A 25,758-nucleotide genomic window follows, 5' to 3' on the forward strand; every position below is an offset into this window, starting at 1 on the left:
TATCAGCCCTTAGATAGTGGATTGCTGATATCTTCTCTGAGGCCTTTTGGCTTTGTTTTATCTTGTTGTATGGAATTTTCAAATTTTAATAAAGGCAAAGTTATCATTAATTTTCTTTAAAGAAATAATAATGCACTTGAGCAATGGTTGAGAACTCTACTATTACGAGGCATAAAGATAATACTCTTCTACATATTCCACTACATTTTTGGTTCTGATTTTCACATTTAGGTCTTAATCCATTTGGAATAATTTTTTGTGCATGGAGTGAGAAAGTGATTGGTTCTATTTATCTTCTTTTGGAAAACCAGCTGCACCAGGACTATTGATTATGTAGTTCACTTTCCCTTTGCTGATTTCTATGGCCATTATATTCTATGTTACATTTCCATAAATGCTTGGATCTGTTTTGGAGTTTCCTATTCAATCTCATTGGTCTGTATTTTCACCTTATAATGATGACTTACCTTGATACCTGGTAAGTCCCTTGGTTTTTTCTACTTATTCAAAATTTTCTTTATTACAGCCTCTTTTATCTCTCATGTGAAATTTTAGTATTATCTTCTCAAGTTCCTTGTTGGGATTTTATAGGAATTACTTTGAATTTAAATATTGATTCATTTGGGAAGAACTGTCAGTTTATAATCTGATCACCCATAACTATGATCTACATCTTCAGATACTGATTTTTTTTATGACGTAAGGTAACATATTCTATTTTTTTCCACAGAAAGTGTACATTTTCGTTAGTTTTTTTCTCTACACATTTGGGTTGCCATTATAAATCACACCCGATTTAATAAATACATTTTGTAATTATGTGATGTCAGATAAATAAGAACACAATTGATTTTTGTATGGCACCCTCCTATTAGTTTCAATAGTTTGTATCTAAAATGCTGTCAAACATATGAGTGGAATAGGGATATGCCAAAATGTTGAATTAGTTGCTTCTAGGTGAAGTGATTATGGGTGATTTTCTATTTGATTTGACTCTTTGCACTTTTCAATACTTTTAATTTTTGTACAATAGGTATCATCTCTTTAATAATTGAGAAAAAATGAAAATTAAATAACAATAGTAAAGATAATAGCCATCATTTAATTGGCATCCAAAACTTGTCAAGCATGTGCTAAATGCTTCATACACATAAGTTAATTTTAATCCTGACAATCATTTTGCATAGAAGATGCTGCTTGTCACATTTTCAAATGGGGAAGCTGAGGCACAGAGCAACTTACCTAAATATTTGCCAGTGAATCAAATGGTTCAGCTGAGTTTCGTGGTAATATTTTGTACTCTAGTCCAACTCAGAAGGACACATTCTTATAGTAAATTCTTCTTTTCTGCATTCAGTCTGTAAAGGTCTAGATGGACCCCAGAGAAACAGTTTTCCAAAGAATTCATGCGGCCCCCTCTGCAAGCGGAAGAGGGGAGGCCAGGCTTGGCGGTGACTACTTGGACTAAGGATTTCGAAAATTAAGATTTAAAAAGTGTCAAAGGATGAGAGATGCCCCGGAAGGCCAGAGCTTTTATAAGTTCCTTAACTTGCAACCATCCCTTACTCAGGAAACGAAGCATTGGACCTAGTAATTTACAACATTAGAAAAAGGAAGTCTGTTCCTCTGAGGGTGAAAATTTTCCTTTGCCCTCAGCTTCCCTAAAGTTTAAAGATCATAAATATGACGGCTAGGCGCGGTGGCTCATGCCTGTAATCCCAGCACTTTGGGAGGCCCAGGCGGGCGGATCACGAGGTCAGGCGATAGAGACCATCCTGGCTAACACAGCGAAACGCCGTCTCTACAAAAAATACAAAAAAAATTAGCTGGGCATAGTGGCGGGCGCCTGTAGTCCCAGCTGCTCCGGAGGCTGAGTCAGGAGAATGGCGTGAACCTGGGAGGCAGAGCTTGCAGTGAGCCGAGATCGCGCCACTGCACTCCAGCCTAGGAGACAGAGCGAGACTCCATCTCAAAAAAAAAAAAAAAAAAAAAAAAAAAAAAGACTTAAAGGGTTCAGGTAATCTAAGGCCACAAATGTGCTACAATACAGACCAGGAAACATGGGATGAGTTAAAGTAACTTATTGCCATTGTGAATAATGCCTCAATAAACATACATGTGCATGTGTCTTTATAGCAGCATGATTTATAGTCATTTGGGTATATATATACCCAGTAATGGGATGGCTGGGTCAAATGGTATTTCTAGTTCTAGATCCCTGAGGAATCGACACACTGACTTCCACAATGGTTGAACTAGTTTACAGTCCCACCAACAGTGTAAAAGTGTTCCTATTTCTCCACATCCTCTCCAGCACCTGTTGTTTCCTGACTTTTTAATGATTGCCATTCTAACTGGTGTGAGATGGTATCTCATAGTGGTTTTGATTTGCATTTCTCTGATGGCCAGTGATGATGAGCATTTTTTCATGTGTTTTTTGGCTGCATAAATGTCTTCTTTTGAGAAGTGTCTGTTCATGTCCTTCGCCCACTTTTTGATGGGGTTGTTTGTTTTTTTCTTGTAAATTTGTTTGAGTTCATTGTAGATTCTGGATATTAGCCCTTTGTCAGATGAGTAGGTTGCGAAAATTTTCTCCCATTTTGTAGGCTGCCTGTTCACTCTGATGGTAGTTTCTTTTGCTGTGCAGAAGCTCTTTAGTTTAATTAGATCCCATTTGTCAATTTTGTCTTTTGTTGCCATTGCTTTTGGTGTTTTGGACATGAAGTCCTTGCCCATGCCTATGTCCTGAATGGTAATGCCTAGGTTTTCTTCTAGGGTTTTTATGGTTTTAGGTCTAACGTTTAAGTCTTTAATACACCATGGAATACTATGCAGCCATAAAAAATGATGAGTTCATGTCCTTTGTAGGGACATGGATGAAATTGGAAATCATCATTCTCAGTAAACTATCTCAAGAACAAAAAACCAAACACCGCATATTCTCACTCATAGGTGGGAATTGAACAATGAGATCACATGGACACAGGAAGGGGAATATCACACTCTGGGGACTGTGGTGGGGTGGGGGTAGGGGGGAGGGATAGCATTGGGAGATATACCTAATGCTAGATGACGAGTTAGTGGGTGCAGCGCACCAGCATGGCACATGTATACATATGTAACTAACCTGCACAATGTGCACATGTACCCTAAAACTTGAAGTATAAAAAAAAAAAAAAGTAACTTATTGCCTTTGTAACTCTTTCCCCAGTGCATTAATGATCACCGGAAAGTTAAAATACAGTTTTAGGTAATTGCATTCAAGTCTCCAAACCAGGTTTTCCAACTGGATAACCATCTAGAAGCTACCACTGGAAGAATCTTTAGCAACCATTATTACCAAGCCCAAAATCTCACAATCTTACCGTATTTCCCTTCTAGCTTTTCTTCTTTTGTTGCCCCCAGTTCCCTCCTCTCTTCTCCCCTCCCCTTTCCTCCTTCCTAAGACTGTGATGACTTTTGTAGGCCCTGGGCACTTTACGGGTCACTTTCTCCAATAAATAAATTTAAAAACTGCATTTCATGAAAGCATTGGTATATGAATAAATATGATACAGGTAGGCTTCAATAGTACATATTTATTATTATATTCACTTTTTTCTTCTGACTTTAAAGAAAAATAAAGTTAAAACATTGACGTGGACCCCTAAAAGTATCATAGTCTCTAATTAATGGGCCTCTTCTATCTAGTGGAGAAGGCAACCCCACTTCTTCCCTCTCTCCCTTTCCTCCTCCCTTTCTAATTTTCTCTCTCTCCTTTTCTTCTTTCCTCCCTGCCTCCCTCCTTTTCCTTCCTTCCTTCCTTCTTTCCTTCCTTCCTTCTTTCCTTCCTCCCACTTTCTTTCCACTTTTTCTTTCTTCCTCTTTCTTTCCTTTTTCTTCTTTGCTTTCTTTTCCTTTTATCTTTCTTTCTTTCTTTTCTTTCTCCTCCCTCCCTCCTTCCCTCTCTTCCTTCCTTCTTTCCTTCCTTCCCTCCTTTCTTTCTCTTTCTTCCTTTCTTTCTTTCTTCTCCTTCCTTCCTCTCTTTTCTCCTTTTCTTTCTTTTATTTTTCTTATTTCTTTCTTTCTTCTTCTTTTCTCTTTCTTGCTCACTCTCTCTTCCTTCTCCTCTCCTTTTCTTTCCTTTCTTTCCTTCCTTTCTCACCAACAGTTGGCATACTCACTAAGCAAAACATGTTTTCAGTTTCTTCTATATCTTGCTTGCAATCATTTCTCTTCTAAGAAATGAGGAAGTCATTTTCTTTCATATTTCTTTTAAAAAATGAAATATAATTGTAAGGGTTTCTTTCTGGAATCTTAAAAGATTTTTTGTTGTTGTTCTATCATGGGTAGTTTGGATTATCTGTTTTCCTTTTATTTCAGCATCATCTGTGCACTCCAATATTTATGAGAAACCCACAAAGATCCTTTGGCAATGTTTCCAACACTGGCTCAACTTCTGGTGCACTGAGCTGTCCTTTAGAGTTCAGATTGCCAGGGCTTCTGCTGGTGCAGCGGATGACATGGAATTTTAAAAATTAAGAAGCACATGCACTATCTTATCATTCAAAAACAAAAGCCACTTGAGATACGTGGCTACCAAAGGGAGTCCACGCAAGCCTGGCGGTTTCCCTCTTACTACTCAAAGCAGCAGCTGGAGTTCCACAGCTGTTTTCCATTGCTCTTGGAGCATTACACATGCATTCGGAAATGACCCTTAGGAGTCAAGCGGCCTTCTTTTTGTTTGCTTTTCTAGAAGATAACTTTCCCAATATAGCACTGGAGTCAAAAGCAAGAATTCAGGGTTGGAAACTCAGTCTATGCAATGGCCCAAAGGTCTTGGGCCATTCAAATTGCAAAACTGTGAATCTTCTGGGTCTGGTAGGGGGGCCAGGGAGGGTTGAGCTTGGCTATCCTTGGCCATGGGCTGGTGATATGCAACATAACCTCAGAATGTACTCCAGGCTTGAGTGAACAGACAATTTAATAATGATTGTGACAGGCCTTCCTCTATGACATGTTCCAGCCTCATGGTGAAAGGACAATGGTTTTCAGTATACCTGACCTTGGATGCCAAGTACCTGAAGATTGAGACCTAAAATAAACTGTGGGCTGAAACCTTAGAGTGTGTGTTATTTATATAATGCAGGGTCTCACTATGTTTAACATCTTTTCACATCATGCAGTGGGTGCTAGATAAGGAGAATCAAAATAGTCATCTTTTTAAGGACTAATGAGTGGAACGGTTCAGTAAATAATTTGGGGAAAATCTCCTTCACCACTTTCCTTGATGCACCCTTTATTATTTGGTTCTTATATTAACAGAGACTCTTTACTGAGCAACTGCAAAGATCCAGACAGCAAGCTAAGTCAGAGTTGCATGAGCATTGGGTTTAGAGAGCTGCAAAAATATTTACAAGTAGGCATCACTGGGCGCAATGGCTGATGCCTGTAATCCTAGTACTTTGGGAAGCCAAGGGTGTGGATCATGATCACTTGAGCCCAGCAGTTTGAGACAACCTGGGCAACATAGTGAGACTTTGTCCCTACCAAAAAAGAAAAGAAACAAAAAAAAATGGCCAGGTGTGATTGCGACCACCTGTAGTCCCACCTACTAGGGAGGTTGAGGCTGTAGTGAGCCATGATTGCACCACTAATAAACAAAAATCCAGTAGCCATCATTATCTTAACTCATTGTGAAAAATCTGAGTCTCACAGAAGAAGTCATAAAAGACTATGAATTCATAAAAGAATTCATAGTTGATTCTTAAGCTTAAATCTGTGAGATTGCTCGATTTCTAAGTAAAATGTTTAGGGATGAAAAAAATTAAAGATATTTCCACTTCCAGAGGGTACTTGAATAATCATCTTCCTTTTTACCTGGGCGAGAAACTTTCTCCTAGAAAACTGCTAAAGAGTATGTACTTCTGCTTTTACTCAATGCAAAGTCCACTGGACTTGGAATTGAGAACGTGGGGTAGGCATCCTGAATCTGTTTATTATGACTTGGTGTAGGTGTAGGTCAGAAGAATACTAAGAAACAGAACTCACCTTTTCTTCCCAGGACTGTAAAGATTGCCTTGTTCATCCTCCCAGCAATGCTAGAAGGTTGGTATTATTGTTGTCTATTTAACAAATGAAGATTTTTAACTAAACGGACTGAATAGCTTCTCTAAGCTCACAAAGGCCATGAGAAAGGGGCCCAGGATTTGAAGAACATCAACACTGCCTATTTCCAAAACTCCTCAACTCTCCCATCTGCTACCTTGCCTGGCACAAATTACTTTTTGAGCCTCCTCTTCTTTGCCTGTGAAGTAGGAATGATAATATCTTCTTTGTGCTGTTGTTGTGCTATTGTGTGTGTTAAATACTGTATTCTACACAAAGATGCTCAGGAAAGTACTTCACACACAGTCAGTGAGTGATACATACTAATTGCTTTGAAATCAAAGTTTCATTTGCAAGTTGCTTTTGAATCTTTTGTCTCAAACACAGCTTCTTGAATCAAATGCAGACTTAAGTAAAACCTAAGTACATTTTGATTGGAGATACATATATATGTGTATATATATCCGTATAATATATATGATGGAGTCTCACTCTGTTGTCCAGGCTGGAGTGCAGTGGCATGATCTCAGCTCACTGCAACCTCTGCCTCCTGGGTTCAATCAGTTCTCCTGCCTCAGCCTCCCAAATAGCTGGGACTACGGGTGCATGCCACCACACCCGGCTAATTTTTTGTATTTTAGTAGAGACAGAGTTTCACCACATTGCCCAGGCTGGTCTCGAACTCCTCAGTCAGGCAATCCTGATGCCTTGGCCTCCCAAAGTGCTGGGATTACTGGTGTGAGCCGCTGTGCCCGGCTTGATTGTATATTTTTAAAACAGAGACGGCCATAATGGAGAGCACCTTGGGCAACTCTGCCAAAACTTGTGCTGCACGTCTCCAATTAAAGTCTAGCTTTGTTGGTCCAAAGAAAATATTGCTTTCTAAATAACATGAATTTGATTTCCTTAAATGAGTATTTAAATGATGTCTGGATTTTGAAAACAGCAAGGAGCTGTTCTTTGCATCTTCTGAGAAATTTTTTTTTTTCTTTAAAAAAAAAAACAATTTCAACTTCCTTTGAGATTCAGAGGGTCCATGGGCAGGTTTGTTTTCTGGTTATATTGTGTGATGCCAAGGTTTAAGAAATGATTGATCTTGTCACCCAGATAGTCAGCAGAGTATTCAATAGTGAGTTTTTCAACCTTGCCCCCTCTCTTCCTCCCTCCTCTAGTGGTCCCCAGTGTCCATCGTTCTTATCTTTATGTCCATGAGTACACAGTGTTTAGCCCCCACCTATAAGCGTCAACATGTGATATTTATTTTTCTGTTCCTGCATTAATTTGCTTAGGAAATGGCCTCTGACTGCAACCATATTACTGTAAAGGACATGATTTCATTCTTTCTTATGGCTACATAGTATTCCATATGTTACATACCATATTTTCTTTTTCCAGTCCACAACTGATGGGCACCTAAGTTGATTCCATCTTTGCTATTTTGAATAGTGTTGTAATGAACATACACGTGCATGTGTATTTTTGGTAGAATAATTCATTTTCTTTTGGCTATCTACTCAGTAACGAGATTGCTGGGTTGAATGGTAGTTCTGTTTTACATTCTTTGAGAAATCTCACTGAGCAATTTTTGGTCTGAGTCAACAGAAATGTTGCTTATCTCTCTGTTCCTAACATCTGGGCAGCCCCTAACCCCTGTCCAACCCAGAGACAATTTGGGAGATTTTAGGGAAAATTTTAAAAGATGGTTGCCAAACCCTAAGCCAAGAACTTTACAATTTTATTGGTTTAAAATAGTTTTTTAAAAATGACTATTTTTGAGGTTCTTCAGGTGATGTATACAGCCAGAAATGAGAGCCATTCTACTAAACTGGTTTTTTTACAGCTCTGCAGAATTGCCATTTCTCCTCAAAACTGGGTCTTTGCGCACACCGTTTGCTCTTCCCAGAACTCTGTTCCCTCTAGGTTTCACCTAGCTAGATCATATTCATCTATCAGTCCAAAAATAAATAATGCTTTCAATGAAAAATCTTCCCTTCCTGTGGTGAGCAGACCTTAGGGTGGTCCTGTGATTCCAGCCCTCGTATTCAGAGCCTGTGTAATCCCCTCTTCTTGAGTTGGGTGAGACCTGTGCCTTGCCTCTGGCCAATAGAATATGGCAGAGGTGAAAGGTTTTGCAGATATAATTAAGCTCCAAAATAAATCAATTTTTAGTTAGTTAAAAGACTATCCTGCCCCTCTGGGCCTGACTAAATCAGGTAAAAGCCTTTGAGAGAGACACTGGGTCTTCCCAAAGAGAGACTTTCCTTGTGGGCTTGATAATGTAAGTGGCCATAGTCATGATGGAGAAGTCCCTGGGGCAAGGAACTGTGGGCTGCCCTAGGGGCCTATGGGTTCCCTCCAGTCAATGGCCAAGAAAGGCCAATACCTCCAATTTTACCACCACAAGGAAATCAATTCTGCCAACAACTCAAAAGGGCTTGGAAGTAAAAATTCCCCCCATTTAAGCCTTCAGATGAGAATGCAGCTCAGTGGACACCTCGTTTGCTGCCTTGTGAAACCCTGAGCAGAGGACCCAGTTAAGCTGTACTTGGACTCTCAACCTACAGACACTGGTAGATAATAAACATGTGTTATTTTAAGACATTAAGTTCATGGTAATTTATTATGCTGTGATAGACAACTAATACCTCTCCGGTATTCTCCCTCACGTATGTTTTCTTGGACTCCTGGAATTGTTCACAGCACTTAGCACAGTTTTTTGTTTTTTGTTTGTTTGTTTGTTTGTTTGTTTTTGAGACAGAGTCTCACCCTGTCGCCCAGGCTGGAGTGCACTGGTGTGATCTTAGCTCACTGCAAGCTCCGCCTCCCAGGTTCACACCATTCTCCTGCCTCAGCCTCCTGAGTAGCTGGGACAGCAGGAGCCCGCCACCATGCCCGGCTGATTTTTTGTATTTTTAGTAAAGGTGGGGTTTCACTGTGTTACCCAGGATGGTCTCAATCTTCTGACCTCATGATCCACACACCTCGGCCTCCCAAGGTCCTGGGATTGCAGATGTGAGCCACTGCACCCGGCCAGCACAGTTTTAAATGTTGATTCAAAGTCTGTTTTTCCTGATAGATAGTAAGCTTGGTGAGCACTGGGTCCTTTGCTATCTTTCTCACTACTCTGACCCTAGCACTTCATTGAGTACCTGACACCTATATAGTAGGTTCTCAATAATTGTCATTACATGAATGGACACATGAACCAATGAACCATGCTATCTTTCTGCTCCAGTCTTCCCACCAAGTCCTATCCAAATTCCCCTTTTGGTCTGTCTTCTGGCATCTCCCCTTGCATTAGAGTAGGGGCTAGTATGCTATGACTCTCAGGCCAAATCTAGCCTGACACCTAACACTTACAAACTTTGGCCTATGAGTGAATCATTGCTTTTGCATTTTTAAATGATTAGACATTTTTAAAAATAATACAATTTCATGACAGGAAATGATTCTATGAAATTCAAGTTTCAAAGTCTGGGAATAAAGTTGTTTTGTTTCTCATTCTTTTGAGACGGGGTCTCACTATGTTGCCCAAGCTGTTCTTGAACTTCTGGGCTCAAGCAATCCTCCCTCTTCAATCTCCTGAGTAGCAAGGAATACAGCCATCCACCACCGTGCCCAGCTTACAAATCAAGTTTTATTGGAACATACTCATGTGCATTTTTGTATGTATTGCCTGTGCTAACTTTCATGCTACAATGGCAGAGTTAAATAATTGAAACAGAAACCATGTAGTGCACACAGACAGAAATATCTAGCCCTTTAGAGTAGAAAAAAAGCTTGTCAGTTTCTGATATAGAGTTCAAGAATTATGGATGAAGACGGTAGAGTCAGAATCAGAGGTTTTTTTTTTTTTTTTTTTTTTTTTTTTTTTCTACCAGCTGGTCCAGGCAGTGAAGCATGAGAGCTTTGCGACATGAAGTAGTATGGCATCTCAGGGCCTACCTGCCTCAGGAACAGCTGGAGGAGGCAGCATTGGTGCAGATATGAGCATGAAGAGGCAACAATACTGTGGGTTAGGTGCCATCTTCCAATGTCTTTCTGGACGAAGATCATCAATAGCATTTAGGCAGAGTCCCAAGGACAACTTGATGATCCCATAGGACATCTCCTGGAGCCTCTCAGAAATTACTGGGGCAAATTCTAGAAAGGTTTAGGGTCTCTATGATATGTCAATAGAGATGAAAGAGCAAAAGTTTACATTAAGATCAATGTGACTTTATTCAAACTCACTGTAAGTTGAGGATAGGGAGAACTCCCCTGTCAGTACAACTAATACACCAACTTTCAAATTAAACTAAAGCTCTATCTCCTCTGCTTCCCCAGGCTACAAGTCTCTAGCCAGTCTCCAAATTCCCAACATACCCAATTCCTGGTGCACTCCTCTGATACGTCTTACTAGCTGCCAATTTAAGGGTGTATTTTCTGCCCGACTAACTAGACTCTGAGTATCTTCTGGCCAAGACTGCATATTATTTATATCACACTACCTGGCACACAATTAATATTAAACAAATAACATCACTAATAATAGTTGTTTTCATATTTTATTGATGGAAATAGGAGCTTTTCGTTGAGACCACTAAGTTTTTTGGAGAAATTATCAAAGGTACTTACATCTTCCCACACACATGCTTGTCTCTCTGCCAGAGATACTCCCTTTATGCACAGTTGTCCTTCGCCTGGTTAACAATGGCTTAGCCTATGGGTCTCAGTTTAAAACCTCCCTGTGAGTAGAACCATAAGATGTCCTCCCAGCCGGTGAGATTCCACAGCGTAGACATGGGCCCATCAACACCAAGCCCCAGATAGATCCGAACGAAGACGCAACTTTCAGAAACGTGAAGTCCAAAGATACTTGCATAAATAGGATTTTAGTGGTTCAGTCTACATTTATTTTTGGATGTGTAAGTTATTACAAATTTTTGTAGCTAATATAAATAACTAAATACATCAGAAATAATATCTATCTTTGTGCATGTTCTCAGTCTTTTAACTTCAGTACACATGGCCGCCCCCACTACAAAGCATTATCTGGTTCCCAAAGTCAGTACAACGGTAATGTTGAGAGACCTCACTAGAGATGTAATTTTTGATGGTTACATATAATTCTATGGTTTGAAATGTTTCTTTGTTTGTTTTTGAGACAGAATCTTGCTCTGTTGCCCAGGCTGGAGTGCAGTGGTGGATCTCAGCTCATTGCAAACTCTGCCTTCTGGGTTCAAGCGATTATCCCGCCTCAGCCTCCCAAGTAGCGGAGACTACAGGCACCACCATGCCTGGCTACTTTTTGTATTTTTAGTAGAGACGGGGTTTCACCATATTGGCCAGGCTGGTCGTGAACTCCTGACCTAGTGATCCACCCGCCTCAGCCAAAAGTTTTTTATTTAGTTAAACACCAGCCCTCTATTGTTGAATGTGTGTAAGTGATTACAAATTTTTGTAGCTAATATAAGTAACACCTAAGTAAATCAGAAATAATATCTATCTTTGTGCAAGTTCTCAGTATTTTAACTTGTTTCCTCTACATGTTCTTCCTGTTTATTGAAATCATATTCAGAACATTTATAGAAACATCTAAGTGATTATCATCTCACCACTTGGAAGCAGCTATTTTTAAGCTTTTGGGCTATTTCCTTTCAGTCCTTTCTGTGTCACTAAGTTTTTCATTTTCTTCTATCCTTTTTCCCCTTTCTTTTCTCTTTTCCTCATCCTTCTACTATTATTTTCTATAGAGAAGATCATACTCTATGCCTAGTTTTCATTTTTTTTTTCTTGCCTATGCTAGTGTATGTAATTTCTAGGATGATTCAAAATTTTCCGTGGACCAATAAGTCTCTACAAGGGGCAATTTTATCCCCCAGGGGACAGTTGACAATGTGTAAAGACATTTTTAATTGTTACAGTTAGTGACAACTAATTAGAGGTAGTGGGTAGGGGTTTTGCTTTTGACATCTAGTGGTTCAAGACCAGGGCTGCTGCTGAACAACCTATGATACACAGGGCATTCCCCACCACAAAGAATGATCCAGTTCCCAGTGTCAGTAAAACACCAATGTTGGAGACCTCACAGTAGATGTAATTTTTGATGGTTCTATGGTTTGAAAGTTTTTCATTTAGTTAAACACCAGTCCTCTATCGTTCGGTGTATAAGTTATCACAAATTTTTTTAGCTAATACAAATAACATTGAACACATTTAAGTGTTTCAAATTAACACATTAGTATTCCTCTCTTTTCTGTAACCACTGAGCCAAATTAAAGCCATGGGTATTGTAAATGCCAAAATGATTATGGCTCTTCAGTACGATAAGCCCCTCAATGCAGAGCCAGTAGTAATTCTTTATGCTCACAAGGTTTATCACATGTTCTCAACAAAAGATGACTGTCTAATGGTTAGTTATGTGAATAAATGCTTGTTGGCAGTGAAGGTTATTCATTTTTCTCTCAACAACTTTCCCTTTTCCCCAACTTTCCGTTTAGTCTCTTTTCATGAGGTCTGTTGGCCCCTGAGACCAGGAGTTAGAAAGCAGATGCCGAGTCACATCGTCACTTCCTGGTACTCTGCCAACGTTATGGGGATGTCAGCGACATTGGTATTAGTGTGTCATTCACTATAATAGATCAGCAGCTGGGCTGGGCATGGTGGTCACGTCTGTAATCCCAGCACTTTGGGAGGCTGAGGTGAGTGGGTCACTTGAGATCAGGAGCTCGAGACTAACCTGGCCAACATGGTGACACCCCCATCTCTACTAAAAATACAAAAATTAGCCAGGCATGGTGGCACACACCTGTACTTCCAGCTACTCAGAAGGCTGAGGTAGGAGAACCACTTGAACCCAGGAGACGAGGTTGCAGTGAGCTGAGATCGCGCCACTGCACTCCAGCCTAGGTGACAGAGACTCTGAAAAAAAAAAAAAGCGGGAAAGAAAAAGAAAGAATGAATGAAAGAAAGAAAGAAGAAAGAATGAAAGAAAAGAAAGAAAGAGAAAGAAAGAAAGAAAGAAAGAAAGAAAGAAAGAAAGAAAGAAAGAAAGAAAGAAAGAAAGGAAAAAAAAGATTAGCAACCATAGGACAGAAAGACATCTGAATAAATAGGATTTGAGTGGTCTATTTTACAGATGAGAATGCTAAGGCCCAGGGAGAAAATGCCTCCACCAGAGCCACATAGCTGATAAGAGAGGTTCATTCCTCTGTGGCCAGTACTCTGTGCCTTCCAAGTGAGTAACCCTGCAGAGGCCTGCTGGGGCTTTTCTCTGTGGAAGCTGGAGGAGCTCTGGACGTCCGTAAAGAAGCCTTTATGTCCTACCTGGTGTAGCCTGAACTGCAGACCTGGTCCCCAAAGCCCAGGACGCTCCTAGAGTCAGCCCTGCCTCTCCTGAGCCAACGATAGGCCAAAGTTTCTCAAAGAGTGGTCTTGAGTTATCTACATCAAAATCCCTAAGACTCTTATTACCTTCAGATTCCTAGGTCCTACTGTAAATGCACCAACTATTTCATATCAGTTCCCTACCAGATTCTCAGGCATGCTTAAATCTGAGAAGCATTGAGTTAGAAAAGGGGTTGACACATTTTTTTTCTCCAAAGGGCCAGACGGTAAATACTTTAGGCTTTGTGGACAGTATAGTCTCTGTTGCAAAGTCTCAACTGGGCATTGCAACGTGAAAGCAGCTACAGGCAATACATAGATGGTCATGTCTAGATTTGGCCTATGAGACATAGTTTACCAGCCTCTGGGATAAACCATTCAGTCAACCAAAATAGCTTGAAGCCTGAATTCATATGTTAGCCTCATTTATTCTCATTTCACAAAAGGAGATGCTCTTTGAGACACTGGATACATATTGGGAGGCCTGGAAATGATTGCAAGCTTGGCTCAGATCTAACTGTATGGACTTGGCAACTCTGTTCCTTCACTAAGACTCAGTTTCCCCATCTTATAACAGTTGACCCCTCAGCCCTCAGTCAGCCTCAGCTGGCATGCATGTCCCTTGACTTTCTCCTGCAATTGATGGCATCTTAGAGCCTCAGGAGCATTTGTCTACTGCCTGTCCCTGTGTGTCGGACGGAAAAGGAGGGCTTTGGCCAGCCTAGGCCTCACTTCCCAGCAGCTTCCCTGAGCACCTCCAGGCTTCTCGGCAAAGGCTAGAGCTCAAAAGGCCAAGAGTGAGTCACAGGGCGGGGGTGCCAGAATTTGCTTTTCTCACTCCCTCTCTCCAGGCTTTGCCTTCCAAGACACTGGGCTGGAGGCCCTGGCGGTGTGGGAGGAAGGGGCAGCCCTCTTCCCAGCCCCACCTGTGTGCCACCTTGATGGCTCTCAACAGGCGGAGTCTGCTGGGCTCCACCCACAATCCTAAGTCCTCTTCTCCATCCTCATCTGCCTGTCCGGGTTCATCATGCCCAGTAACCATGGGCAAATGCCCATAGGGACCACAGGGATCAGATCTCAGCTTTCTCTCCCAAACTCTTCTCTCTGTACCTATCTTCTCTGTTTAGCAAATTCCTGCTTATTCTTCGTGTGCTGCCACTTCCAAGAAGCCTTCCTGGGTTGCTGAAGAGGCTTACTCCACTACTCCGTGATGCTTTGGTTGCCCTCACACAATCCACCTTTTGACCATTTCTCAGCACTTGGACTATTGATGTTGTTGTTGCTGCTGTTATTGTGAGTCTCTCACATAGGCAATGGGTGTGTCCATGGCAAGAACTGAATCTTACTAATTTTTATATCCCTTGACCTCAGTGCAACTTGTACACACTAGGAGCTTAATCATTGCATGTCAAACTTATTTCATAAAGGTAGATTTCATTTGGTGCTCAAAAGAAAATTAAATAAGGCTTTCTCTACCAGGTAGCAAACTTATGGAGCTTATTACCCCCAAGAAGTGGATCAATACAACTATGAATGCATTACAGAAAAAGTAAGATACTGAATGCTGAGGAGATCCAAATGGATTGTGATCATTTTTAGCCACCTTTGCTTTCACTTTACTTCTCTTTATTCATTAAACGCTTCGTTCTCCTATTGGTGGGCATCATCCAAATTTGTTATCTTGAGTCTTCCTTTGCTTTGATTTCTTTGTCTTTATAATTGAAAGCCTCAGATTTGAGAAAGTCTCAGAATCTCTTAGCTTGGTAAAAGTTCATATTTCAAGGTCTACCCTGAGAGAGGGGGAAGTAGTAGGGCTTGGGTGGGTCCTGGAGGTGCCTTTATAACAAGCTCCCAAGGCTACCTGCAGGCAGGCGGTTTGTGCGTCACTCTACCCTTCCCTTCCTGGTTGATTGACTTTTTTCTTTTTTTTAAGTGCCAGTTCTATGCCCAATACTGCTGTAGGAACTGAAAATAGAGTGGAGACCCAAAGAGTGGTCCTCCCTTCATGGGGAATGCATGCTGCCCTTCCCTCCACTGGATCTTCCATGACATCATTTGAAGACCTCCGTGGTCAGGCTGTCCTGGAAATTTCTCATCAATGTGTTCAAAAGGCCATTGTTTACTCTCTCTCCAAATATCAGCTGCCCTCCATGCCACCCTGTCCTTGACTTCCCTGCGTCTATCATGGTTCCAGCATTCTTCTTCCTCCTTCCCCCAGTTGCCCACCCTGTGTGTTGTTTGTGCATTATCTACTCTAACTGTGCAGGTATCAGGCCTTTTTGATTCTTCATCCTTACCACTTGTCTCTTCTCATGTCTCTGGTTAATCACAAACAAGATCCTTAGAAGTTCATGCTAAAAGCCTGCAGAAGACACTTCATTTGCTTCCCTCATCTTTTCTTATTTTAATTTATTCAAATTGATCTTCAAGTGCTGTGTTTCTGAAACTATGACAAGCACTAGAATTATCTGGAAGTCCTGTGAAAATGAGATTCCCTGTTCATTGCTCTGCAGGGTCACCTGAGATCTGGCAATCTCACATGCTGAGGCTGGTGGTTCGTGGATGTCACTTTGAGGGGCAGGTCCTAGAACACACTGTTTTTACTTTGTAAGTCTCCTTCCTTTTTCTCCATTGGCTGTCACCCATCAGCTTCAACCCTGAAATTTAGACTGGCATTTACAGCTTAAACCTGCCAGTGGTCTTCTCATTGAATTTTTTTCTCCTCCTTCTTAGACTCTTTTCTTTGCTTCACAGGTCTCCTTCCAGCCCATTTCCCCCATCTTTGCTTTTGCTACCTTTCACATCAGAAATGTTGTCATCTTTCCCTTGATTCTTTGAATCTTTACCTAACTCATATGGTTTGGCTGTGTCCCCACCCAAATCTCATCTTGAATTGTAGTTCTCATAATCCCCAGGTGTCATGAGAGGGACCCAGTGGGAGGTAATTTCATCATGTAGGCTGTTAGTCTTATGCAGTTCTCGTGATAGTGAGTGAGTTCTCATGACATCTGATGGTTTTATAAGGGGCTTTTTCCCCTTTCACTCTGCACTTCTTCCTGTCACCACTTGAAGGAGAATTTACTTGCTTCCTTTTCTACCACGATTGTAAGTTTCCTGAGGCCTCCCCAGCCATGCTGAACTGTGAGTCAATTAAACCTCTTTCCTTTATAAATTACCCAGTCTCTGGTATGTCTTTATTAGCAGTGTGAGAACAAATTAATACACCAGCCTTCCAGTTAAACTAAAGCTCTATTTCCTCTACTTCCCCAGACTACAAGTCTCTAGCCAGTCTCCAAATTTCCAACACACCCACTTCCTGGTGCATTCCTCTGATATATCTTACTAGCTGACAATTTAGTGGTGTGTTTACTGCCCAACTAACTAGACTGTGAGCATCTTGTGGCCAAGACTCCATATTATTTATATCACACTCCCTGGCACACAGTTAATATTAAACAAATAACACCACTAATAATAGTTGTTTTCATATTTTAATGGAAATCAGGACTTTTGGTTGAGACCACTAAGTTTTTTGGAGAAATCATCATAGGTACTTACATCTTCCTATACACATGCTTGTCCCTCTGCCAGAAACACTACCTTTATGCACAGTTGACCTTTGCCTGGTTAACAATGGCTTATCCTCTGGGTCTAAGTTTAAAACTCCCTTCTTCAGAGATGTCTCTGACCATCCAGATTAGTCTATTTCTCTCTGATATCATTTGCATAGCACACTATACTCTCTCTTATAGCATGAATCACACCTGAAATCAGTAATTTTACTATCTTTTCCAACTATTTGTATTGTAAGAAGATTATATATCGTTGCCTGTTATTGTATGACCTACAGTTCCTCTCTGTGGGAAGAGTGTATTTCCCTGCTCCATTTATGTTGGTTCTGGCCATGTGACCTGATTTAGCCAATGAAAAAACACAGTGAAATGCACCATTTTTAGCCATCTCTAGTTAAACACCTTCCTGGAGGAGTAAATTCTATACCAGTGGTTCTCAACCAGGGCTTGATTTTTCTTTCCATGGGAAAATTGCCAATATCTGGAGATCTTTTTAGTTGTCACATATGGGGGTAATGCTGCTGGCATTAGTGAGTAGAGGCCAGGGACGCTGCTAAACATCCTACAGTGTGCAGAATAGCTCCCCACAAAAAAAGAAGTATCCAGCCCTCAATGTGAATGGTACCGAGGCTGAGAAACTGGGCTATACACCAATGTCATCTGAGAAAAACTCTACTCCAAGTGGGAAAATGAGCTTTGAAATAAACATCCATTCACTAGTTTAGTGTCCTGGATTTTACAATCTTTCTGAACCTTGTTTTCTTAATTATTTGAGAAGTGTGTATGATAACTCTACCCTCAAGAAGATGTGGTAGAGATTAAAGAAAATATCGTAAGTGTCGTGAATGGCATATTGGTCTACAAGAATGCTAGATCTGTCTCCTGTCCTCACTGATGCTATGTCAAGATTTATTACACACAATCAAGTTTTTTTTTTTTTCTTTTTTTGACAGAGTCTCACTCTGTTGCCAGGCCTGAGTGCAGTGGTGCGATCCTGGCTCACTGCAACCTCTGCCTCTCCCCGGGTTCAAGTGATTCTCCTGCCTCAGCCTCCCAAGTAGCTGGAACAACAGCTGTGTGCCAACATGCCCAGCTAATTTTTGTATTTTTAGTAGAGATGGGGTTTCACCATGTTGGCCAGGATGGTCTCGATCTCCTGACCTCGTGATTCGCCTGCCTTGGCCTCCCAAAGTGCTGGGATTACAGGCATGAGCCACCATGCCCGGCCCAATCAAGTTTTTAATTCTCTAAATAACATTAGGATTTGTGCTAGAACCTTTAAAATATTACTCAAACGAGGGCAGCAGGGATTGGGGATAGGATTTCTATTATTTGTGCTACCTGACTAATTCTGGAGACTTGGACCCAGACTTTGGTGGGTTGAATCCAAAGGTGCAGGGACTTTGTGTTCCCCAAGAGGGCAGGCAGCAGAGCCCATGTGTTCTTTAACTAACTGTGTCTTTGTGTTTGCAATGGCAATGGGAAAGAGGGAAAAATTATAATAATTCTTACAATGATTATGTGCTGGGATCTTTGGCTGGAATGATCCCTTGGAATGAAAAGCTGATACTATCATGCCTTTGCTTACATCCCTTCAGTGGCTTGTTTTCTTTGGAGCCTGTAAAATCAAAGTCCAAATCCTTCCTGTGACTTAGAGTCGCCGCAGTCTGTCTCTTGTCCTCCCTACTCTAGTGTACCCATATTGTCCACGGATCTCGGAATATGTCATGCCTTCTCTAGTCTCAGGGTCTTTGCACAGGAAGTTCCCATGTTATAAAATGCTTTTCCCCCTTCTTTTCACCTTTATAACCTCTACTTATCTTCCTGTTTTATGCTAAAGTCTCTGTCAGAGAAGGCTTTCTCAAATCCTCCAAACAAGTCAGGTCATTTCCCCCTGTATTTCTACGATGCCCATTCTCAGAGCTGATGGCAATCAGTAAAACTGTGTCCCTCACTGTATGCTTACCAGTTAAAACATTGAAGACAATACTTTTGTAATTGTTGATGATTTATTACTGCTCTGAGCCCCCAGTGCCAAGCCCTGACCACACGGACCCTCTTTGGAACATTCCCTTTTGCCCATTCCCCATTACTCCAAAATCAAGCAACTAAAAGTTTATTCTCTGGCACCATAGTGGACTTTCAGACCCCTGATCTGAGGTTACAGCCAAAATCCATTCTGATTGGCCCATATAATCCCTGCTCATATTTCTGCCTTATGATTATTTGTCTCATAATCATGTTATCGAGCAGTGATTATTTGTGTTTTTGGTAACATTCTAAAATCCAGAAAGCAGGGGCGAGTTTTAGAGTATAGTGGACCTGCAACCTGAAATACTCAATATGCACTTCTGTTAACTGCTTGTGTTATTTAATCCTCACAACTCCATGAGGTAAAAGTTGTCCAGCCTTTCTATTTTACAACTGAGGCTTCAAAAGATAAAAGAGATCCATGCTGAAGGGAGAGGAAAAGAAGAAGACCCCAAGGACCACAGGCCTGGGCCTGTGTTATCCCAATGCCATCATCTCAGGATACGATGGGAGCTGCTAGGTGTAGAGATGGCTCTTCTTTGAAGAAACCCCCATGAAATGGTTTCAGGGGAGGTCACTGTGGTTATATCCCAGAAGATTTGCCCTGCAAGTGAAACAGAAGCTTCTCATGGAGATGTGGAGGGGGCTGCCCCGCTGTGTCAGAAAGTGGAGACTCTATGGAACCAACCCCATTATACTGAGATAGGGTTGAGGCTGCTGATGGGTCTTTACCTATTGTAGCTTCCATTTGTATGGTAGGCAGCCGCTAAGATGGCCCCAGATATCACTGCCTTGTGATAGTCCTGTCTTTGTGTAATCCACTCCCCATGAGTGTGGGCTGGATCTACTGGCTCTCTTCTGCTAAACAGATGATCGAAAAAGTGATGAAATGTCACTTCTAAAATTAGGTTACACAGAGAATGTGGTTTCTTTTTTGCTCACTCCCTCTTACTCAGGGAAACTAGCTACCTCTTTATGTACTGCCCTATGGAGAGGCACACATGTCAAGAAACTGAGGGAGTGCCTTCCAGTCAACAGCCAGCCAGGAACTAAGGTGCTCAGTACAGCAGCCTCCACAAAGGACTGAACAATGCCAACAGCTATTTGACTGTGCTTGGAAGATCTCCGTTTAGTTAACCCTTCAGATGAGACCGCAGCCCTGGCCAGCAAACAAATTGCAGCCTATGGAAAGACCTTAAGGCAGAAGCACCCAACTGAACCACCCGAGGGCTCTGACTTACAGAAACTGTGAGCAGTAAGTGCCTATTTTTTTAAACCACTATACTTTGGGGATGGTTTGTTACACAGTTATAGACTACTAATAGAGTTTGTTAAGTTAGTATTTTAGTCTGCTTTTTTAGCTGCAAGATAAAACTAACCCCTTCACATAAACAGTTAGATTGCAACTCTATAGGTTCCGTTTTAACTTTATAGTTAGCTACTAATGAATCTACACATAAATATTCAGATTCCCCTAACACAGAAGAGAGGCCTACTATGTGCAGCATTATGAAATGTGAATTTCTAGATATAAAGACTTTGTCTCATTCATCTCTATACCCCAAGGCCAAGACCAAACTTTATCACATCATAGCTATTTAATATTGATGGGTTGATTTAAACGATCTAATTACTGGATAGCTATTATGACCCACATTTTACTGATATAATAAGAGAAGTACCTAGAGTTTAAGTGATTCAGAGAAAGTCATGTGAGTGGAGTCAGGGCTTTTGCCCAAATTCTCAGGCTGCCATCTGTGTATCCCAGAACTTCCTTAGTGGGTAAAATAGCTCATTACTGACTAGAATGGCAATGTTTTCCTTCCATTGCAACATACTAGCTCAAAATAAGCAGGTGGCTTTTTTTAGAAAAACAGTGTTTCATTAAAGATTGTATTCCAAAAAGGCTTTGTTAACTCCTTTTTTCCCTTTAAGTATAGTGAAATGGCCTCTACCTTATTTTGAATGGATTTCTGGGATAAAGTTCTTCAGTGATAACATGTTTGAAGTAAGTAACAATTAAGTTATCTTAGTCCTCACTAATAATGTTCATAGAGCAATTGGTGTTTCTTTCTGAGTTAATAACAAACATTTGCAGCCAAACCATAGGACTCTGAAGATAAAGCAATTGGCAAGAAACGGTATGTTTAAATACCAGAAAATAGCCCATATCCAAACAGGTGTGCGATAAAACAGTATAAATAAACTGCTCTGTATGCAGTTTAGCCCAAGCAGAATTGTGTAGGAAACTTTCTTATTCTGGAAAAAATATAACCAAACCAGGCCTCTTGTATCCTCCTTAGACTGCACAGCTGGAAAAACAGTTCTTGTTCAAACAGCCGAAAGTAAAAGTTGTTTTAATTTTTTTTAATGGCCAGATAAACAAAACCTTGCTAGAGGAATGACTATACTTGTGCAAATATGGCCTTGAGCTAGAATCTTGTGAAAGACTCACCTCTTTTCAACCTTTAAGAAATATGCCTGCTTCTTTGAATTCGCGATGGTCACTTCATGTTGTGTTAGGATATTTTTTAAAAATGTTTCTGTTGGTACAGTTATCTTAACCACCTGGGTACTTGACTTGACTTACGGCATTAAGAGTATAGATGCCTAAAAGAAGTACTTGGTTTCTATTAAGATCTCCTAAGTGCACAGGAAACATGGTTTAGAGCTCAAAGAGGTTATAAAAACTGTCCATCTTTTCATGCCATTTCTTTCTGGCCAGGAACAAAGGTAAGACAAGAGGTTGGTCCATGCCAGAAAGTCTGAAAGTATGCGGGTTAAATGTTTCCAAGTGTGCTGTTTGGTGTTTGGGATCATTTGTTCTTTGCCAAGCTGTGTCTAAGGGGGGAAAAAGCAAAAACAATGGAGACGTAGCCTAAGGTTCCTGGAGATATCTGGCATTTGACATGCCTCAGTGGTGAGGAGCATTTATGGTCTAGTGAAAAGTAAGTGGTCCTCTGCATTCCACAATCCAAACCCTGGCTAAATCTCTGACCAGTAGGACAATTACCACTTCTGAGTCTCAGTTTTCCATCTCTAAAATGGTCTTCTATACACAGTTATGAAGACTACATGGAAATACATAACTTGTTAGAGGCAATAACACATGAAGATTACATGCAGTAATACACATGCAATAACATAAATAATCTTATGACGATTACATGCCCTGGAATGATTATCTATAGATACTGTGTGCAAAGTGAAATTATACCAAGTGCTATAGAAATAAAAATGGCTGAATAGAGGTCAATTGGTGTGGCAGTTAGGAGCATAGGTTCTGGGCCGGGCACAGTGGCTCATGCCTGTAATCCCAGAACTTTGGGAGGCCAGGGCAGAAGGATAGTTTGAGCTCAGGAGTTAAAGACCAGCCGGGACAACATGGCAAAATCCTGTCTCCACAAAAAAAAAAGAAAGAAAAGCTAGCCGGGCAGGGTGGTGCATGCCCACATTCCCAGCCACTTGGGAGGCTGAGGTGGGAGAATCACTTGAGCCCAGGAGGTCAAGGCGTAAGTGAGCTCTGGTAAGTGCATTAGGTTGGTGCAAAAGTAATTGCAGTTTCGGGCTCTAGTTTTAAGTGGCAGAGACCACAATTACTTTTGTGCCAACCTAATACCACTGAACTCCAGCCTGGGTGACAAAGTAAGACCATGTCTCAAAAAAAAAAAAAAAAATAGTGTAGATTCTAAGCTCAGGCTTGCTTGAAATTCTGGCTCATTTTCTTTGTATCTGAGTAGCCCTGGTGAGTCTGAATTTCCCTATCTGTAAAATGACAATAATAGCAGTACATTCTTTATTCTGTTTAAAATGAAGAGCTCAAGTGCTAGTGTGTACTCATGTGCTTTCTTTGTGAGTTCAAGCACTCAAGACTTCAAATGGTATCTTCCAGAGCTTCTTCAGCTAGATTCTGTCCTCTTCCTCATTTGTCACTCTGCTGGCTGCTCCAGGTCGTTCCAATCTATAAATAACCATTTCAGAGCCAGACATCACTGACTAATATCTCAATCTCTAGGAACAAACATTTTGACTTGTGCCACACTCAGTGGTTCAGAATGATTGTAACCCAATTCTGACTATAACTAGAATGAGATGGAAATCCAGCATTCTACTTGGGAGCAGGATTTTCTCTAAGAAACTACAGCGGATCAGGATAAAAGTTCTCTTTTCTGTTATTCATAAAAGGCAGGGAAAGAGAGTCAGAGTTATGGCTTATGGTGTCGCAAGAATGTTCAGTATCATTTTAAGGATCTCTGTCTCGTTCTCTCTCTCTCTTGCTCTCGCTCTTGCTCTTGCTCTTGCTTTTTCTCTTCCCTTTCCCTCCCCGTGGCAAGTATTATAAATAGGCCTCCTTCTTATCTGATCCTCCCCTAAATGTTTTTCTTTTGAAAACCACAGTTAATTTTAGATAAATGTCGGAGATAATCTCAAATTTGTGTGTAATATAGGCCCTAGTTCTAAGAAAAACATGACATGTCTGGAAGACCTTGTTTTGGCCTTTGTTCCTCTGCTAGTACCACGGCCAATATCTCTGACTTCCCACCCTTTATCTGAGACTGGGTTGTATCTTAAGTCTCCTAACCCCCTTTTCCAGAAGCAGAGAAACTGCCACCTTCTGAATGGCTCCTTTCTAATCCAATAGTTCCCCAGGAATGATTTTAAAGCTAGAAAGGGGCTCCGGGGAGTGAGGGCTGAGTTCACCAACACTGCCCGCCTGAGCAATTTGCAGGATGAAGTGGCCTCTGTCCTCTGATTTTCACAGGCCAGGCCCCCTCTAGATCCATGTGTAGATAACTGCAGTCGTAAATGTTATGCGAAGGCTGCTGTACAAGCCTTTTAAATAAGAGGCTGTTTTTCAGAACCTGGGCCACATTTGTCCTGGCCTGAGTTAAGAGGTAAAGAACATTCCAATTGTGAGCTTGGATGGAAAAAAATATATTTGAAGTTTTTTCTGCTAACAAGGTATGCAGAGGACTCAAATTCCAGTAAACGAAGGTTAAAGACGGGCTGATTTGCAGAATACGGTCATCAACCCCACCCCTTAATTTTTCCATAAAGTGCCATAAAAAGCCACTGCACTAACAAACATTTTGGGAAGGAAACAAGCTCCAGGCCAAGAAGCCACAAGCTTAAATGGAGGGAAATCTGAGCCCTGAGGCACAGTTTCCTGAGCAGAGTCATTACTCAAGAAGGGATCAGGCATTAACAGAACTATCCCAACCCAGTACCAAAGCTAAGGCTTCCTGGGTGCCCTGGGACAGTGCTGGTCAGGAGAAAAGTGCCAGTGTCCCTCACTGGAGTTACACCCTTCACCTTGACTTACAATGTGAAATGAGAGCACATATCCAAGACTCAGCTTACACCTGAAAAACATCTGAAGAAAAACGTCTTGTTTTATTTAAAGGATGAAAAGAAAACGCGATGCAATGAAATTGCAAAAAAAAAAAAAACTCCAGCTGGATGTATTTTTTAAAATTTTTTGTTGTGGAACACAGAAAAATTAATGCTAAAATGGATACAGAAGAGTAAAGTCCCCCCAGAGAGCTAGGCCAACTGTGAAGAAGAGGAATATGGAGGAGGGGCTTATCCTACAAAATGTTAACCTTCTACAAAACCATCATCGTAAAATTGGTCTGCTTCTGGCTTGAGAACAGAGACCAGTGAACAGAACAGAGGCCTAGGAGACAGGCCTTTTTATAAATGAGGACTTGAAATATGTTTAACATGGCTTAAAAATCATGGGGAATGGTTAGATTATTTAGTAGATGGTATTGAGAAATTGGCTCACCATATGGAGAACAAAAACATCTATATTTCTTTTTTTTTTTGAGACGGAGTCTCGCTCTGTTGCCCAGGCTGGAGTGCAGTGCCACAATCTCGGTTCACTGCAAGCTCCGCCTCCTGGGTTCACACCATTCTCCTGCCTCAGCCTCCCGAGCAGCTGGGACTACAGGCGCCAGCCACCATGCCTGGCTAATTTTTTGTATTTTAGTAGAGATGGGGTTTCATCGTGTTAGCCAGGATGGTCTCGATCTCCTGACCTCGTGATCTGCCCGCCTCGGCCTCCTAAAGTGCTGGGATTATCGGTGTGAGCCACCACGCCCGGCCCAATAACATCTATATTTCTATAGTACACAAACGTGGACTCCAGATGCATAGGATATCCAGTATGAGAGGAAAGCTTATATGGTTAACAAAAGAAAATTTAGAAGAGTATTTTTACAACTTAGAGGTGGGGAGAAACTTTCTAAAGACCTAAAATTACCAAATATAAAGCAAAAAAAAAAAAAAAAAAAAGTGTTTGATGACACAAAAGTTGAGGATTTCTTTTTAATGAAAGATTGTAAAGATGAAGTTAAAAATTGAAAAATTGCAACACAATATCTGCAACATTTACAACTGACTAACAGCCAGTATAGGATATATGAGGGTAACCTGTAAGTTAACAAGAAAAGGATCAAAAAATCCATCAGAAATAGGGGCAAAGGGCTGGGTATGGCAGTTCATACCTGCAATCCTAGTACTTCGGGAGGCCAAGGTGGGAGGATTACTTAAGGCCAGGAGGTCAATATCAGCCTGAGCTACATGGTGAGATCCAGTCTCTACAAAAATAAAAATAAAAAGGTTAGCCGGGTGTAGTGGTGTGCACCTGTAGTCCAAGCTACTTGAGGAGGCTGAGGTTTGAGGATCGCTTGAGCCC

General features: G+C 41.1%; 1 long non-coding RNA gene across 1 annotated transcript in view, besides 2 other annotated features; it reads left to right on the forward strand.

The window, feature by feature from the left end:
* LOC105371356 (uncharacterized) overlaps positions 1 to 25,758 on the forward strand; it is a 49,125-nt gene that overhangs the window by 17,861 nt on the left and 5,506 nt on the right. Inside the window, exons 3-4 of the long non-coding RNA XR_001752268.2 lie at positions 20,015 to 20,313; positions 20,994 to 21,066. This is a non-coding gene — a long non-coding RNA (uncharacterized LOC105371356). The remainder of the gene's footprint in view (positions 1 to 20,014; positions 20,314 to 20,993; positions 21,067 to 25,758) is intronic.
* Positions 14,313 to 14,812: an enhancer, noted in NCBI's record as "H3K4me1 hESC enhancer chr16:79742031-79742530 (GRCh37/hg19 assembly coordinates)". NCBI's record gives its function as "activates a minimal SCP1, AML or CMV promoter by ChIP-STARR-seq in primed H9 embryonic stem cells {active_cell/tissue: H9 hESC(primed)}" and the evidence as "EXISTENCE:reporter gene assay evidence [ECO:0000049][PMID:30033119]".
* Positions 19,813 to 19,942: an enhancer, noted in NCBI's record as "active region_11160". NCBI's record gives its function as "activates an Ori minimal core promoter by ATAC-STARR-seq in GM12878 lymphoblastoid cells {active_cell/tissue: GM12878}" and the evidence as "EXISTENCE:reporter gene assay evidence [ECO:0000049][PMID:35858748]".

This window comes from Homo sapiens, chromosome 16 (assembly GCF_000001405.40).
Source record: "Homo sapiens chromosome 16, GRCh38.p14 Primary Assembly".
Lineage (NCBI taxonomy): Eukaryota > Metazoa > Chordata > Mammalia > Primates > Hominidae > Homo > Homo sapiens.